General features: G+C 35.4%; 1 long non-coding RNA gene across 2 annotated transcripts; it reads left to right on the forward strand.

The window, feature by feature from the left end:
• Window positions 1–573: 573 nt before the first annotated feature.
• Window positions 574–15,448, forward strand: LOC105375707 (uncharacterized). 2 transcript variants are annotated; one of them, NR_188052.1, is made up of 4 exons: window positions 574–705; window positions 4,064–4,229; window positions 14,928–15,022; window positions 15,132–15,448. It is a non-coding gene; the product is annotated as an uncharacterized LOC105375707 (long non-coding RNA). The 2 variants fall into 2 exon arrangements; NR_188053.1 differs by lacking the exon at window positions 14,928–15,022.
• Window positions 15,449–17,620: the final 2,172 nt, after the last annotated feature.

Raw genomic sequence — 17,620 nt, forward strand, 5'->3', positions numbered from 1 at the left:
GCCCCTCCTCTTCCTGTGTGAAACCAGGAATTCATATAGTGAGGAAGGAAGTGCTCTAGCAGGGATTCTGGCCTTGCTGACAGTCCCTGTTTCTTCCGTTTCTTACTTTTCACCCAATAAAACCCTGTATTACTCACCATTCAAATTGTCTGTGAGCCTGAATTTTCGTGGCTGTTGGACAAGGACCTCGTCTTTAGCAGAACTAAGGAAAAGTCCTGTAACACAGTTTAATTTTAAAAATATGTCTATAATCTGTCTTCTGCTCTTCGATCATTCTATTCAGTCTTTTTCACTTTCCCCTTATTTGTTCTTCCTTCACATGGGTTTGGTTTGTTGAATTCCATCTCCCTAAATAACACAATATAACATGCTGATGATAAGCAAAAGCTCTGTTATTGTTTACTTTGATAACTCAAACACTTTTAGTAGTGTCTCAGAGGGAGAAATACAGGATAAGAATTTTAGGGATTGAAAGTTTATTGTAAGACTTTTAATTCAGGGGCTTGATTAAGGTTGAATAAGAATTATGATGTAACAATTTACTGTTGATGGACACAGCAAGGTGAGAATTTTGAGATTCAAACAGCGGATAATACAAGCCAAAGTTTTCTTTCTGTGGAAAAGTTGATGCGCCTTTTAAGAAGTGAACAACCAAGTTATTTGCCTGGAAAAGTCTCCTGAAATACTGAAGTTATGCTAAAGAAGGTAAAAGAATGAAGTCTTAGTATAGGTAGCATAGTTGTGTATGGGAATAGATAGTTTCAGTTCTCAAAGGTCAAACTGTATACGTGTTGGGTGAGTAGAGTGGATAGTTTCTGTTTGCTGATTATAATTGGTACATATTTTTTCCACCATTAGTTTCTCTTTACTACAGTCACTGTGTTTATTGAAAACTTACTAATATTTCCTATAGTTGTAGTTTTCTTATGACATCCATGAGCTGGCAATGACTCACTGTGGCTAATTTTTTTTTTTTCAAATGAAACTCTTCATCTTAACTTTACTGCATATCAGAAACTGACAATAAATTAGACACCATTGAATCCTAATTTCTTGGCTAATCTTTCTATTCTTACCATTTTTTGTAAGGGGCATTGCCTTCCCAATATCCCTAATACATCTTTAATAATTGTGTTTCTCACCTCTTGTTTCTCTGTAATCTTTTGTCTTTATATACACATTTAGTGTGTTTATTTTCATGATTGAATATGTTTCACATTCAATCTGCAGAAAAATTCTATATATTTGGAGGATTTCTATAAACTTCTTATCCTAGCATAAGTTTTTTCAAATATTCTTGTAAGAAAAGCAGCCTTAACCAGTATAAAAGTCACTATCCTTTTAAGTTACACTCCTCTCAAAACAGATTATATATTGCCTTTCCCCTCCCAAGAAATGCAGTTTAAGATTTTACTACTCAAGCCTCAGTATAATATGATAGCCAGCAGCATTAACTTAACTTGGAAATTTGTTAGAAATGCGGAATCTCAGACTTCACCCCAGATCTATAGAATCAGAGTCCATATTTTGACAAGCCTCTCAGGTAATTTATATGCACATTAAAGCTCAGGAAGCACCAGCTTAAGTTATTTGCAGCATCTCTGAGGCAGTCTGCCTAACTGCATTAATAGTGAATTGGAATTAAATCCTCTTTATGAATTAGTAATTTGCTCCAGTCACAATCACTTCTCTGTATGCTTCTGTTCACTTTTCAAAACACAGTGCCCATCTGGAATTTTCACTGTTTCAAACTTAGCAAAGATCTTATCTACCTGTAGTCATATGAGGTAAGGAAAGGACTTAGAAAGTGCTTCAACTCAGGTGGGCCTTAACTTCAAGGGTATATTCATTTTTCAGAAAAAAGAAATTTAATTTGACGACATAAATTCATGAGAATGCTAGAAACTCCTGTTATTTTAATTTTAATAAATGTTATTAAATAAGGAACCTCTGTCAGGAAAGATCTTTAAAAATGGAAATTTCAATTGAGATTTGAAATATAAATATGAATTACTCAGATGAAATAATCTGTGAGAGACATTAGAGCAGCATATTAGGCATAAAAAGAAACAGGACATGAAATTGTTGAAGTGTGAAGACTTGAAAGAATATGTAGTAGAATCTGATGCTTCCAAAACAATCTGATAAATATTGGTTGTCTCTTAAATTCATGTGAAATTATTTGTCCTGTATTCTAAGAGAAACACAAGCAATGTCTTCAATTAGAATGCTATTGTGTCAGACCAGAGTAGTGACAAATTTTGTCTGGAATATTTGAATTGTAGATTCAAGAAGACGCCTATTAATTACAGAATTATTTAGAAAGTGGATTCATTAGGACTTTTTGATTGAAAAATATAAAAAGAGAAGTAAAAGGACATAATAATTGTTGCTACATTTCGAATTTAGCGCAGAAAGTATAGAGCTGTCCTGCCCTCAACAAGACAACACAGGAGAAAAAAACAAAACTGAAGGAAAAGGATAAGTTCTGGTTTAGATATTTTGATTTCCATGTGAATATAAGACTTTCAGGCAAACTATGCTACTTATTCTCTCTCTGTCTCTGTCTCTCTCTCTCTCTCACACACACACACACACACACACACAAATGCATAAAATTTAACAGGTTGCTATTGTGTTGAGAAATATATTTGCAATAGAATATCATTGGGGAGGATCTTAAATTGAATTTTACGCAATATTTGGGGGTAGCAGAATGGGGATATAATGGACAGGTGAGAAATCACAGACAGGAAGACAGATTAGAAGACTTTTTAGGCTATCTGGGAATTTGGAGGTTGTAGCTTAAAAAATGTTATCTGAGTATCAGTGCAAAAGAAGAGGAAGGGATCAGATAATATTTATTTTTATTAAATGAGGGAATAAACGTGAGTGGAAAAATCCAGGATCGTGCCTGTGGTATGATAGGAACCACCACTATAAATCTTCCATTCTGAGCACCTAAAGATGTGTCTGCTTATTCTCTACCCTCAGATAAAGTTAGTAAACATCTGAAGGATTGTGGAGAGGAGGTTGGATGGGTCCTCAAATCTCAATTTTCTATAATTTAGGTTCCAAATATACCTTGGACTATATTTTAAACCTTCAAGCTAATAACTTACTTAACACATTATGATTATGCATTTTCCACTCACTTTTACCCATTTTATTTACTCCCTTTCCCCTCTATATTTTGATTTATTTATCAACTATCCTGACATTCTTACTCTTTGCTATTACCTTTTAGGATAAAAAAAAACTCAGATATCCCCTACTACAAAAAGGAATTTCCTATATACATTCAAACAATAGCTACATGCTTCTCTCACTCTAAGGTTTGGTGGGTTCAGCTACAACTGGAATTTCTTCTGGTTCAAAGTGACGACTCCTCACCACAGTCCATAGAATCTCCGTATTTCCATGCTTACAACTCTCTCAAAGGTCATCAAATGTGTCCCAATCTTAATATACAATCATGTTAGAACCATTTACTATTTATTCAAAAAAATGGGTAAACACAGAAAGGGTTGCAGGGTCATTTGGCAAAATAAGATATCTTGAAGATGGGATATGAGACCCCAGAAATATTAAGAAACACATAACAAATCTGGTATCTATCTACATCTCATATAAGTTATTGAAAACAGATCTCCAAAACACTTCTAGAAATTAATGCTAGGTGAAGTGATTTTGAAGATTTATGTTCCCAGTTCTATGGTCATGTGTTAACATGTAAAGAGAATATTCATCATAGAAAATGTAGTGCTATGAGAGAATTTTGTGGAATTGTTGAAGACATATGTCCACATTTCTGCATGGTTAGGGTTTTCTGAGCAAATAAACTGAGAGCAGACTGGAAGGGCAACTCTGGAGATTAAAACTGAATAGCAACCCGCAGAGAGCAAGAGACCTTCAGCAAAATTCAGAGTATTCAGCTCCCCTTAGAGCTATGTTTCATGTTATGAAGGGAGATACAACTCAGAGACATTCCTTTAAATTCCTCTTCTCTCCCCACAGAAGATTTACCTGTCTTAGGGAAATATGGTTTCTCTTCTTTTTTCAGGAGAAGAGAAAGGAAGCTGCAGTCCCTGTATAACTCCTAAATTTTTAATTTGGAGTTCCTCTTCTTCGGTGCAACAATCTTTCTGCATGCACAGATCCATGTGGCACTCATCTCATCATTCTGAGGGAAGAAAGATGCATAGGGAATGTTGCATGTGGTTATTTCTGTAAGTATAGTAATCATAGTGTGCCTTTAATTCTGAAATCTTATGTTTGCTTTCAGGATAAAATAAATAAGTAAAAATATCAGAAACTTGTCAATCTTAAGACATCGGCTGGCCCCTCACTACACTTCATTGTCCTGAGATGGCAGAGGAGACAGAACACCAAACCTAGCTCTAGCTTTTGAGACTTTATTTTCAGCAGTTTACATTGATTGGTAACTGGTGTTTTGCCAGGTCCTCGAATAAGCTAAGCAACCGCGTCACAGGGCAAAATGACTCAGGCTTCTTTAAATAGTGAATTGATCTGCATATAAATATAAAGAAAAATACAATGAGAGGGGGGAATCTATCTTATTGGGTTATTATGGGTAGATAACCCTCTTTATTGCTATTTATTTTTAACAAACACATACTTTGTGCTATGTTCAAAGCATTTTTACAAACTCTTTTCAAGTATCAACGCATTGAATATGTACAGAAGTCCTATTAGGTTGATTTTTAAAAATTATTTTCATTTACAGATAAGAAAACGTACCTTCAGAGGGGCTTACTCTCTTGTCCATTACACCATTTTAAAGTGGCAGAGCATGATTCTAAACCAGGTTTTCTGGCTGTAGAATCCACACTTCTCTCTGCTTCAAGATGCTCCCTTGTGGTTGCTTAACTGTATTGTTTTAGAATCTTGACTTTTATGGGGACTTCCCTACAATTTCAACTAAAAATATTCTATATATTATTGGTGTGAAGTTTAGTTCTTATACTTAAGAAGGTTAAATTCTGGCTATTAATATTGTTAGAGATTTTTGTCTCTAAACAATTTAAAGATTGCTATTAAGAGAATATACTGTACTAAAATGTTTGTTCCTTATACTTCTTTTTTCATAAAATAAAAAAGTAGCACTTAATGTTGAAAATATGTAAAGCTCAAGAAGAATGGAGGATAAATCTAAGGATACAGAAACCTGTTCAAGAAAAAATATTTTCTGGCCGGGCGCGGTGTCTCACGCCTGTAATCCCAGCACTTTGGTCGGCTGACGGGGTCAGATCACCTGAGAACAGGAGTTCTAGACCAGACTGGTCAACGTAGTGAAACCCTGTCCCTACTAAAAATACAAAAATTAGCCAGATGTGGTGGCACACGCCTGCAGTCCTAGCTACTCAGGAGGCTGAGGCAGAAGAATCGCTTGAACCTGGGGGGCAGAGGTTGCAATGAACTGAGATCGCATCACTGCACTCCAGCCTGGGTGACAGAGCAAGACTCCGTCTCAAAAAAAAAAAAAAAAAAGAGAGAAAATTTTCCGACGCATTTACTGTGTTCTGTAAATTTCTTAGATTTATTCATCTCAATTCAGACACCCCAAATTCTTATATGTCCCAGACTGTTTCAGTTACAGTGACCATTTGCTTTTATTATTATAACTAGGACACATTTGAGAGTGTAAAGGTATGTGATTAACAATCATGCTTTGATAACAGGCATGAACAAGATAATCTTGCTAAACCTGGGAGTCTCTTGGTCAAACTGTGACTGACGGTTAAGCTGGTGAAGTATCCTTGGGTCTGCAGTCTTAAGAGATCTCTGAGTCTTCCAAGTGGCCCCCATAATATGATGGAGTAAAAATGTCTACCTGTGATGATACAGGAGTTCTGAAGACATTGGGAGAGTATTTCTTAATGTAGAACATGCATTGCAAAACCCATTAGCACTTTTTACATTTTTTTCAAGAAAAGGAATTCAGAACTGAAATACCATTTTATTTATTCCAGTGACTTTAGGGCATTATGATAGAAGTGAATACTGCTTACTTGCCTTTTCAGTTTGAGATTTAACAATCTCCCATACCCCAAGCATATTGGGAGTGTATGGAAAGGACACTAATTCTAATATACATAATGAAACATTACAAACTGTAGTCACACATCTTTATCACTGCAAGCCTTATTTGCATTTGGAACACTAAAAAAATTTAGAATTTTCTTTTTTTTTATTATACTTTAAGTTTTAGGGTACATGTGCACAATGTGCAGGTTAGTTACATATGTATACATGTGCCATGTTGGTGTGCTGCACCCAGTAACTCGTCATTTAACATTAGGTATATCTCCAAATGCTATCCCTCCCCCTTCCCCCCTCCTCCCTCCCCCTACCCCACAACAGGCCCTGGTGTGTGATGTTCCCCTTCCTGTAAGAAATGGAAATATTTGGAATTCACTTTCCTCTCATGGTGATGAAAAAATATCTTAGTTATCACATGAAATTACTAAGGAAGTAGGGAAATGAAAAGCCAATACATATCATTAATTATGTTACACTAACTGTCTGTGAAAGGCTTTTGCTGTGCATCCAACATAAAGAGCCTAAACAGCAATTCCTCAAAGAATCAAACAGACTTGTAAATAAATTAACTGCCTTCTAGAATAATGTCTCCAACAATCTTTAAAGTAATACAACAGAATCGAGACTCATGTCAACAATGTACAATTAGCATTTTAGATAAAACAATAAAAAATTACAAGGCATGTAAAAAAGAAGAAAATGTGACAAATATTTTATTTCTAGGAAACAAAAAAATGACAGATGTGATGGAAGTCATAGGAAGTAATCTTAAAAAGGTTATAACTATTTTACAAATGTTCAACTAGTCAAAGGAAAACATGAATATAATAATGAAACAAATGGACACTCAAATAGCAATTCTAGACATTAAAATTAATAGCTAAGGTAAAATTTCTGTGGATGGAATTGACAGCAAATTAATGCAGAAGAAATAAAATTATTGACATTGAAAACAGAAAACAAAGACTATCCAAAATGAAACAGAGGGAAACAATAGATAATGAATAGAGTCATAACAATTGTAAAATTACGGTATGTTTTCAAAATATGATAAACACTACAAGACTACTGTTTAAAGATGAACAGATCTAAGCAGAATAAATACAGAAGTGCCCGCTTATCTGCAAGGGATACATTCTAAGACTCTCAGTGGATGCCTGAAACCATAGATAGTACCAAACCCTATATATACTATGTTTTGTTCTGTACTTACTGCACATACCTATAATAAAGTTCATTTTATTAATTAGGCACAGTAAGAGATTAATAATAGTCACCAATATAATAAAACTATTATAACAATATACTATAATAGAATGTCTGTGAATGTGGTCAGTCTCTCTCAAAATATCTTACTATACTTTACTTAGCTCCTTTTGGACTGCTGTTGGCTTCAAGTAACCAGAATCACACAATCAAAACTGCAGATAAGAGGGAACTACTGTAATCACCTATTTCTCTCTCTCTCTCTCTCTCACACACACACACACACACACACACACACACAAGATGTATCATTAGGTGACAAGAAAACAGCTATAAAGAGAATAACATAAAAATCACCAAGGAAGTGGGGAGAGACATTATAAACAAAAGAAGAATGATTAAAATTAATGATAGCAGAATGAATGCATAATCTGTGCAAATTGCATGACTGTTAAGCAGCTTTATGACACAAGAAAAAAAAGTATGCTAAACTAAATTTTTTAATCAAGGAAAAATATACTTTTTAAAAAGGTGAAATTTAAAGACAATTATATTTGAGAGTATGCATTACTAGCAAACTTATACTATAACACAAGATAAATATTTTAGACCAAATAAAAATGGTAACAGATAGCAATGTGGATTTACCTAAATAAAGGAAACTAGAAATTGAAAACATGTAGGAAAAAATAAAAGACATTATCTTATTTTTTATTTACTTTATTTTTAAAATTTTATCTTATTTTTGTGAAATAAAATTTTATCTTATTTTCTTTGATGGTTTACAGCAAAATATTATTACTGTATTGCATTGTGGTATATAGAAAAGTAAAAGGTATAATTATAATAGCAAAAAGGATTACAGGGGAGAAATGGAAATACATAGTTCTAAAGGTGTTAAAAATATATTAATCTATAAAATGATATTTAAGAGATGTAAAAGTTTAAAAAATATACTGTAAATTCATTGTTTTATTAAATAATAATAGATATCTAACTAGAAGAGATAAAGTGGAATGCTGAAAAGTTCTCTATTATTTAAAAGAAACTAGAAAACAAAGAGGGAAAGGATTTAATGATTACAAATTAAGTAGCAAAATGGAAGAACTAAGCCCAACCATATTAATAATTAAATATAAAAGGGCTAAGCTTACCAATTTAAATAAATACATTGTAAGACTGCGTAAAAAAGCAAGATCCAACTATATGCTGTCAACATGAAAGTCATTTAAATATAAGAATAAATTATATCTTGTATAGAAAGATAGATTAAAATTAGTATGAGAGGAAGAGCTATATTATGCAAATCACAGACATAAAAACTGACGTGCCTATGTTACAATGAGACCAGGTAAACTTCCAAACATGAAACCTTACCAGAAATAGAGAGAAATTTCATGGGTAAATTCATCAAAAGGAAATAACAACGATAAAGATGAAAGAGCTTTAAAATACTTACACAAATCTTGACAAAGCTAAGAAGAGAATAGATAAATCCACAATTACCGGTGGAGATTTCAACACTTACGTTTTAGTAATTGACAGTAGACACAAAATCAAAAAAGATATAAGAGACTTGAACAACAGTGTCCACCAATAACACTTAATTTATATTTACAGAACGACACACACACATACGGACAAAGAAACTGCAGAGTATACATCTTTTTCAAGTTCAAACGGATATTCACCAAGATAGATTATATATTGGACAATAAAACAACCCTTAATATACTTAAGAGGACTGAAATTACATAGCATATGTTATCTTTCGTCACTGGATTTAAATTAGATACCAATAATGGAAAGGTATCTGGAATAGTCCAAATGATTAAAAATTAAGCAATGGATTTTATGTAAATTATGGGTAGAAATTTGAAAATAAGTAAATAAAATACATTATATCAAAATATGTGAGACACAACTAAAGCAATTGTTGAGGACATTTTGGACCTTTAAATGTTTATATTAGAAAAGAAGAAAAGTTAAAAATCACTTAACTAAGGTTCTACCTTAAGAAGTTAGAAAAAGGACAGCAACATAAACTCAAAGTGAATATATAGTAAGAAATACTAAAAATAATTGTGAAACTAATGAAAAAGAAAATGTAAAACATAATATAATATCAGTAAAACCAAAAATAGTTTATTTGAAAAGATCAAGATGATAAATGTTTATACCAACCAAGAAGAAATAGACATAAATTAACATATGGAATAAGAGAGGAAACATCAATACATATCCTACACCTGGGGTCACCAACCCCTGGACCCAAGGACTGGTATTGGTCCATGGCCTGTTAGGAACCAGGCTGCACAGAACGAGGTGAGCAGCGGGAGGGTGAGCATTTCTGCTTGAGCTCCACCTCCTGTTAGATGAGCTGTATCACTAGATTCTCATAGGAAAGCGAACCCTATTGTGAACCGCACATGTGATGGATCTAGGTTGCATGCTCCTTATAAGAATCTAATGCTGGCTGGGCACGGTGGCTCATGCCTGTAATCCCAGCACTTTGGGAGGCCAAGGTGGGTGGATCACAAGGTCGAGATAATGGCCTGGCCAACATGGTGAAACCCCGTCTCTACTAAAAATACAAAAATTAGCTGGGCGTGGTGGTGCACACATGTAGTCCCAGCTACTCAGGAGGTTGAAGCAGAAGAATCGTTTGAACCAGGGAGGCGGAGGTTGTACTGAGCCGAGATCACGCCACTGCACTCCAGCCTGGCGACAGAGTGAGATTCCGTCAAAGAAAAAAAAAGAAAGAAAAGAAAAAAGGATCTAATGCGCTGAGGTGAAACAGCTTCATCCCATCCCAAAACTATCCTCACTCCCCATCTGTGGAAAAATTGTCTTCACAGAAACTGGTCCCTGGTGCCAAAAAGTTTGGGGACTGCTGTCCTACACAATTTAATAGAAAGAAAAATGTTATGTCAATACATTCAACAACTTAGGTAAATGTGTCAAATAGTTTAAATAACCTATTTAAATTGAATCAAGAAAAAAGAAAATCTGAATAGCCCCGTGCTAAAAGACATTGAATTCAGAATTAAATATTCCCACTGTATTTTTCTATCTTTGCTGTAACAAATTACTACAGACTTAGTGGCTTAAAACAGTACCCACTTATTATCTGACAGTTCTACAATTCAGAAGTCCGGGCAGCCTCTGCTTGTACTCTCTTCGGGTCTCACAATACCTAAATCAAGGTGTCAACTGACTAAGTTCTTGTCTGGAGACTCTGGGGAACAATCAATCGCATTGTGTGTGCATTTAGTTTGTTGGTGGAATTCTGTTCTGTGGCATTGTAGGTCTGAAGTTCCTGTTTCCTTGCTAGATGTCAGTGAGAGGTCATTCTCAGCTTTCACAGGTCAGTGAGAGGTCATTGTCACCCACATTCTTTGACTTGTGGTCCCCTCCATCTTCAAAGTCAGCATGGAAATATAAAATCCTTCTCATACTTTGAATCTCCCTGACTTCCTTTTATATAGCTGCTTTCTGCTTTTAAAGGTTCATGTGATTATATCAGACTCACCCCAATAAAAAGGTAAACTCTTTAGTCACCTTAATAAGATCTGTAAAGTCCGTTGTGTTATTTAATGTAACATATTCACAGGAGTAACACCAGAGGATAGAGGACACTGTTTTGACTCCCACAACCACAAAGAAAAGAAAATTGTAGGTCCAGATGGCTTAAAGACATCTTTATGCTTCCGATATGTGCATTTAGGAAAGGAGCCTCTGATGCGCTCTGATAATCCATGAAAGGGGCTCCTAGTATCCCAAGACAGCCTCTTTAGGTGTGTCAGATAGAGCATGGAGAAATACAGGTGAAAGCCTTGGCAGGAAAAAAAAATGCTTAGAGACGTTAGCTGCTCCAAGTGAAGAAGTTTCTTAAATGACAGTGTCAGTTAAGATTTATCCTGAAGGCTATGGAAATCAACCATAGGATATAGACTTTCCAGAGTACTATGGGATTGCAAAGAAGGAGAGAGTGATGAATCCAAGATAAAGCCAGTGAGATCATTGATAAGATAATTGAATTTATTACTTAAAGATGGGAAAATATTGCCAGATTGAAGTTGGAGAAATAACTGGTTTTTGAGGAGTCTATCTTAGTGAATTATAGAACAAATTAAATAAACTTTGGTTATTATTTGAAGTTAAACAAATGCACTAGATTGCCTTATTCAGACCAAAACATATCCAGTTTGAAGACTGTGAAAAAGTTGTTTTCAGTATTTTCTTTGTAAAGAGGGATCATGTATTAGGACCTTTTACAGACATATTTCCAAAGAACATTGAAAAATTTTATTGATTTCATTCCATGTTTACCACACAGTTTTCTTATTTTTTTCTTTTGGATTTTCTATGTACACTGGTAACAGGAAAGGTGTGTTTGTTTAGCAAGGATGTGTTATGTTTCCTTGAAAGTAGAAATGGTAGCATCCCGTCAACAAATGTCATTCCACACAATGTCTATTGTGCTTATTGGGATCAATTTAGTTTCTGTAAATCATAGTGGAATATAGTCTGTTATTTTTCTTCTAAAAAGCTTAGAGTTTTAAATTTAACACATAAGTATATGATCAAATTTAATATTATAGGTGGTATAAGGTAAAGATCGAGGCTAATTTATTTTCCATACAGATTATCAGTTGTTCCAAATCTAGTTGTAAAAAAGACTTTTTTTCCTATTAAATTACCTTGTATTTTTGTTAAAAATAAACTGACCACAGGTAGGATAATTTCTTTTCCATTAATCTAAATTTCTATATTATAAAAATAACACTCTGCCTAATTAACTATATCTTTATTGTAAGTTTTGAAAGTAGAAGTCCTCCAACTCTGTTTTCTTATTTCTAAAACTGAATTAGCTTTCTAGATCTCTTACAATACCATATAAATTTTTGAATCAGCTTGGCAATTCCTAAAAAAGATCCATGTATATCTTTCAGTTTCTCAATCAAAATTAATATCTATCACTCCTCTAATCTCTGCTGAATTATGGTTTTTACCTCTATCATAACACTTAAATTTCTATATAAAGTATGTAGTGTTTCCTATTTTTACTGTCTTCTAAAAATTGTATTGTACGTAGTTGGCCCCAAAAAAGGGTTAGATCAGATCCATCTTCATTAAAATAGCATGAAGCTATTCTTAAGAAAGAGAAAAAAGTTTTAGTATATTTCTTACTTTGCTGTGCATTATAATTCTTAAACAATTTTTTTTAACAATTTGAGACTTTACAATTATTTCAAATATAAGCTAACTAGAGTAATGATAATTTTGGAATATGGTTCTAAAATATATCTAGTATACGTTTTACATTCTGATTTCACTAATGTAATTCAGTGTATTTCCACTGTGATTATTTTAGCCACTTACTCACTGATCTTCAATACACGCAGTCTCAGCACTACCACCATCTGTTACTACCATTACCACCTCTCAATCACATTTTTTCACACATTCCCCTTGGCAACACTGTATACTGACCTAAAGTACTTAACTCATTTTTTTTTTGTCTGCTAGGAAGGCCTCTTTTTAATTGTAAAGTATCTCACACATCATCTCTAACAGTCTGAGATTAATTTCCTACAATAATTACACAGAATAATTTGTAGTCAGGGCCTGCAAAAAAAAAAAAAAAAAAAAGTGTCTAGAAACCAGTTCCAAAAATTAGTTGTTTCAGAAGGCCTCTGACAGTTCCTAAATGTTCCCGACCTTAATATAATATTTTCCCTTCCAGACACCATGGCAATATGTTTTCTTGAAATGAAGCTAAGGACTGGGAAATTGAAAGTAATCCTCATGCTTTTTGATAATGCACCTCCTCAGGAATAATATCAAAGTAACACCTGAACAAAAAGGGCTGGTTCAGGTGACCACAGAGTGACAGTGAGTGCCTCTTTTAGGGATGGATGGGTCCTGATTCTAAACTTTTCCTTTCATTTCTTTACCCAAACGCTGCTTTCCTTATTTCTTGCCTCAAAGCTACACCTGGGTAGGAAGTGCACACTTAAAATTCCAGCCTCATTCCTGTCACTCATGAGCTAATATAACCACCCAGAGAATCCCACAAGCCTCTCAGTGTGGATTTCACAGTGCTGGCCTTCACAGAAATGTACTTTTCCTTACTAGAATATCTCCCTTCCCTTCCTTGCCTATTCCTGAGGGATACCAAAAGTTCCAAAATTCATTTTTGAACCTTTCCACTGTCTTTACTGTGAAAACTGTAGGCCACTGTCATATGCAATTCAACTAACCATGATGAATCTCCCAAGCTAGACAATCAATAAGCACGTCTTGTCTTCACGTCTCTTCTCTACTACAACTATTTTGTCTTTGTAAGTTCCAGCCCCTCTTCTCTTAAATATGCTTAAATGTCTCCTGATTCACACAAATGTTCTCCCTTGATCCTGTATCCAATTTTAGTTTGAAGCCTCTCATTTCCTTCCTAGATAAGGTTATGGAGTGCATATTTGCCATTTCTACTTTAACAATTAACATTTACTTCTCATATGTCATGAAATATTTCAAAGAAAAAAGGATCTGAATCTAATATAATGTGGCTCCAGATTTAACTTTGACAAATATTATCAAATATTGTAACTTTAATAATACAGTTTTAAATATATATTTTTCAGGAGAAATTTAGTATTTATGTATATAAATGACCATAGTTTTCTTCATCTGCAAGACAATCTTCTCTGATCCAAATTTCCTCTTTTCTAATCCAGATATAATCACGGATTTAGTATTTTTTTCTTTGCAATCTATCATTCTATATCTGGTGATATAGAAGCTTTTTGGCCGGGCGTGGCGGCTCACTCCTGTAATTGCAGCACTTTGGGAGGCCGAGGCGGGTGGATCACTTGAGGCTGAGAGCTCAGGACCAGACTGGCCAACATGACAAAACCCTGTGTCTACTAAAAATACAAAAATTAGTCAAGCATGGTAGTGCACACCTGTAGTCCCAGCTACGTGAGAGGCTGAGGCACAAGCATCTCTTGAACCTGGGAGGCGGAGGTTGCAGTGAGCCAAGATCATGCCATTGCACTCCAGCTTGGGTGACAGAGCAAGGCTCTGCCTCAAAAACAGAGCGAAACAAAAAAATCAAAAAACAAAAAACACGAAAGATGAACTGTTCAACAACTGTTTCAACAGAGTTACTATAACACCAAAACCAAACTATAAAAGACAGTAAAATGAAATACATTATACAATATTACTTACAAAAAAGTTTTCAAAAATCTTAAAATGCTAGCAAATTTGATTTTTAAATGTTTTATATAAAATAGCTATTTACATAAACTATATGTAATATATTTGTTTTTTAATCTATTTTGAATCCTTAAATTCTTCAAAAATTTACTTTTTCTTTAATATTATTTTAAACATATATATTATTGTGGAAATATATTTGTTGATTTTGATTGCTACAATTTAGTACATGCATTATAAACTAATTGTATTTATCTTTTTCATTAGTGAGAAACAGTTGGATTACTTCCAACTGTTGTTGTTACTCATAGTGTCTGTACCTATATTCACACATTAAAAAATGGGAATGCTGAAAATGATCCTGGGATTATGTAAGTTAAAATGTGTCTCTTACTGACAAATTCTAAGAAACCTATATTTACCTTTTATTTCAGATTTCTCTCAAGTGCACATTATCCATCAAGAAGATTTAAATCATTTTGAAATATTAATATAATGATCAAAAATTAACTTTTATACATGTTATTAGGTAGGTTATTGTAATAACTATTACTATAATTAATATAGGCGAGTTTGTTTTGCCAAAACTCTTAAAATGAGATCTAGAATTAGAAATGACTTTTTTCCTTACATCTTAGGCAGAACCCACAGAAAACAATAAAGCACGAGAGAAAAGAGGATGGCAGTTTACCCAGGAAACATAGGTTGTGCAAAGCTTTGCAATGATACTCTCAATTCAGAGCAATGAAGAACAGAATGCTGTCTTCCCATAATGATGGCATTCAATTATCACTAGACTTACAAGACTACAGAAAATTTCTCAAGAACCAGTAAGGATCAGACAGAGCCAATGACAATACTGAAGAAGCTTGCCAGTGGAGAATGAAAGCTCAGTTACACAAATTACGTTGTTGAACCAGTGCCAGAAATAAAATGTGATGGACAAACTCATTAATTATGAGCGTGAACCAGACAAAACTGAGAATAAGGTGGGAATTCCTTCATAATCTGTCCCTACTTAGTTGCACCATAACCATAAATATTGTAAGAGGCAAAAGAGTGGTAAAAAGCTCATTAACACTGAGATTATTCTTGTTAATTCATCTGAATGAGACCTTAACGTACAAAATAACTTGAATTACAGAAAATGTTGAAAAGTTGTATTTCTTGCACATCTAAGATTGAGAGGGAGATATATGTGTGAATTGTCACGAAAGGCCATCTTCAAGATATCACAATCAATCTGTAGATTAAGGTCAGCCAATATAATATTCCAACCTGAACCTTTGAAAACTGAACAGGAGTGAGTATAATAATCTCTAGAAAAGCATCAGTTAAGATTCTAGCTTGGCCATCTCCATCATCTGTGTCCTTTATTTCTAATAACCTTCAAGTTTTCTATATATGACATTATCTTTCCAGTCTCCTCGGAAAAATTGCTCTTCACTTCAATTAGTTTGAATCAGTTTATTTTGCTTTCCACCAAGAGCTGAAATTTTTCTAAACCTGCACACTCACTTATGAAGTCCCTAGAGATTACACGTTACTTGTGTTCCTTAGTCTTCATTCCTTGTTCTTATCCTGTTTACTCTTCTATGCATCAATTCTGTGAGAGGCAAAACCAATTTTTATGTGTGTAAAAGGGAAAAAAACATATGTGCATAACTAATGACTTCTGAAATTTATTATGACAAGAACCCTCCCACTCAGAAGAATTATGAAGGCTTGTTGTAAAAAATAAGAAAATAAGTCTTTGATAATGACAGACAACAATTAGGTTGCTTGGACTTCAGAATTTTATTCTAAATAAACCTTCTAAACTGAACTTACTACCCCAAACCTTGCCTCAATCTGCCTGTGATAGTAAGGTAAGATTTATTCAATTCACCAAGTCAGCTAAGATCAGGTTAACTCTTGCCTTCTCAAAGTGTCCCACTATCAAGATATCCAAGGTAATCACACCTCTCCTGCAACAAAAATTTACAAATACAGCAAGAATGGTATAAGAACAAACATGTGTCCTTACATTGGTCCTATTGTGTCCAGAATTGGTGGGTTCTTGGTCTCACTGACTTCAAGAATGAAGCCGCGGACCCTCACGGTGAGTGTTACAGTTCTTAAAGATGGTGTGTCTGCAATTGTTCATTTTTTCCAGTGGGTTCATGGTCTGGCTGGCCTCAGTAGTGAAGCTGCAGGCCTTCATCTTTAGTGTCACAGTTCCTAAAGGTGGCACGTCCAGAGTTGTTCGTTCCTCCCATCCAGAGTTATTCGCCCCTCCTGGTGGGTGGATTCATGATCTCGCTGGCTTCAGGAGTGAAGCTGCAGACCTTCTCGGTGAGAGTTACAGCTCATAAAGATGGTGCAGACCGAAAGAATAAGCAGCAGCAAGATTTATTGCAAAGAGCAAAAGAAGCAAAGCTTCCCCATCACGGAAGGGAACCCAAGCAGGCTGCCTGGGCTGGCTCGGGCAGCCTGCTTTTATTCCTTTATCTGACCCCACTCACATCCTGCTGATTGGCCCATTTTACAGAGAGCTAATTGGTCCTTTTTACAGAGAGCTGATTGGTCTGTTTTGACAGGGTGCTGATTGGTGCGTTTACAAACCTTGAGCTAGATACAGAGTGTTGATTGGTGCATTTACAATCCTTTAGCTAGACACAAAAGTTCTCCAAGTCCCCACCAGATTTGCTAGATACAGAGTGCTGATTGGTGCATCCACGAACCCCGAGCTAGACACAGAGTGCTGATTGGTGCATATACAATCCTCTGGCTAGACATAAAAGTTCTCCAAGTCCCCACCCAATTCAGGAGCCCAGGTGGCTTTCCCTAGTGGATCAAGTGCCAGGGCCGCCGGTGGAGCTGCCCTCCAGTCCCACGCCAGGTGCCTGCACTCCTCAGCCCTTGGGTGGTCGATGGGACCAGGTGCTGTGAAGCAGGGGGCGGTGCCCATCAGGGAGGCTGGGGCTGCGTGGGAGCCCACAACCCTGGGGCTCCGGCACGGCAGGCTGCAGGTCCTGAGCCCTGCCCCGCGGGGAGGTGGCTGAGGCCCGGTGAGAATTCGAGTGTGTTGCAGGTAGGCCAGCAGTGCTGGGGGACCCGGCGCCCCCTCTGCAGCTGCTGGCCCAGG

This window comes from Homo sapiens, chromosome 8 (assembly GCF_000001405.40).
Source record: "Homo sapiens chromosome 8, GRCh38.p14 Primary Assembly".
Lineage (NCBI taxonomy): Eukaryota > Metazoa > Chordata > Mammalia > Primates > Hominidae > Homo > Homo sapiens.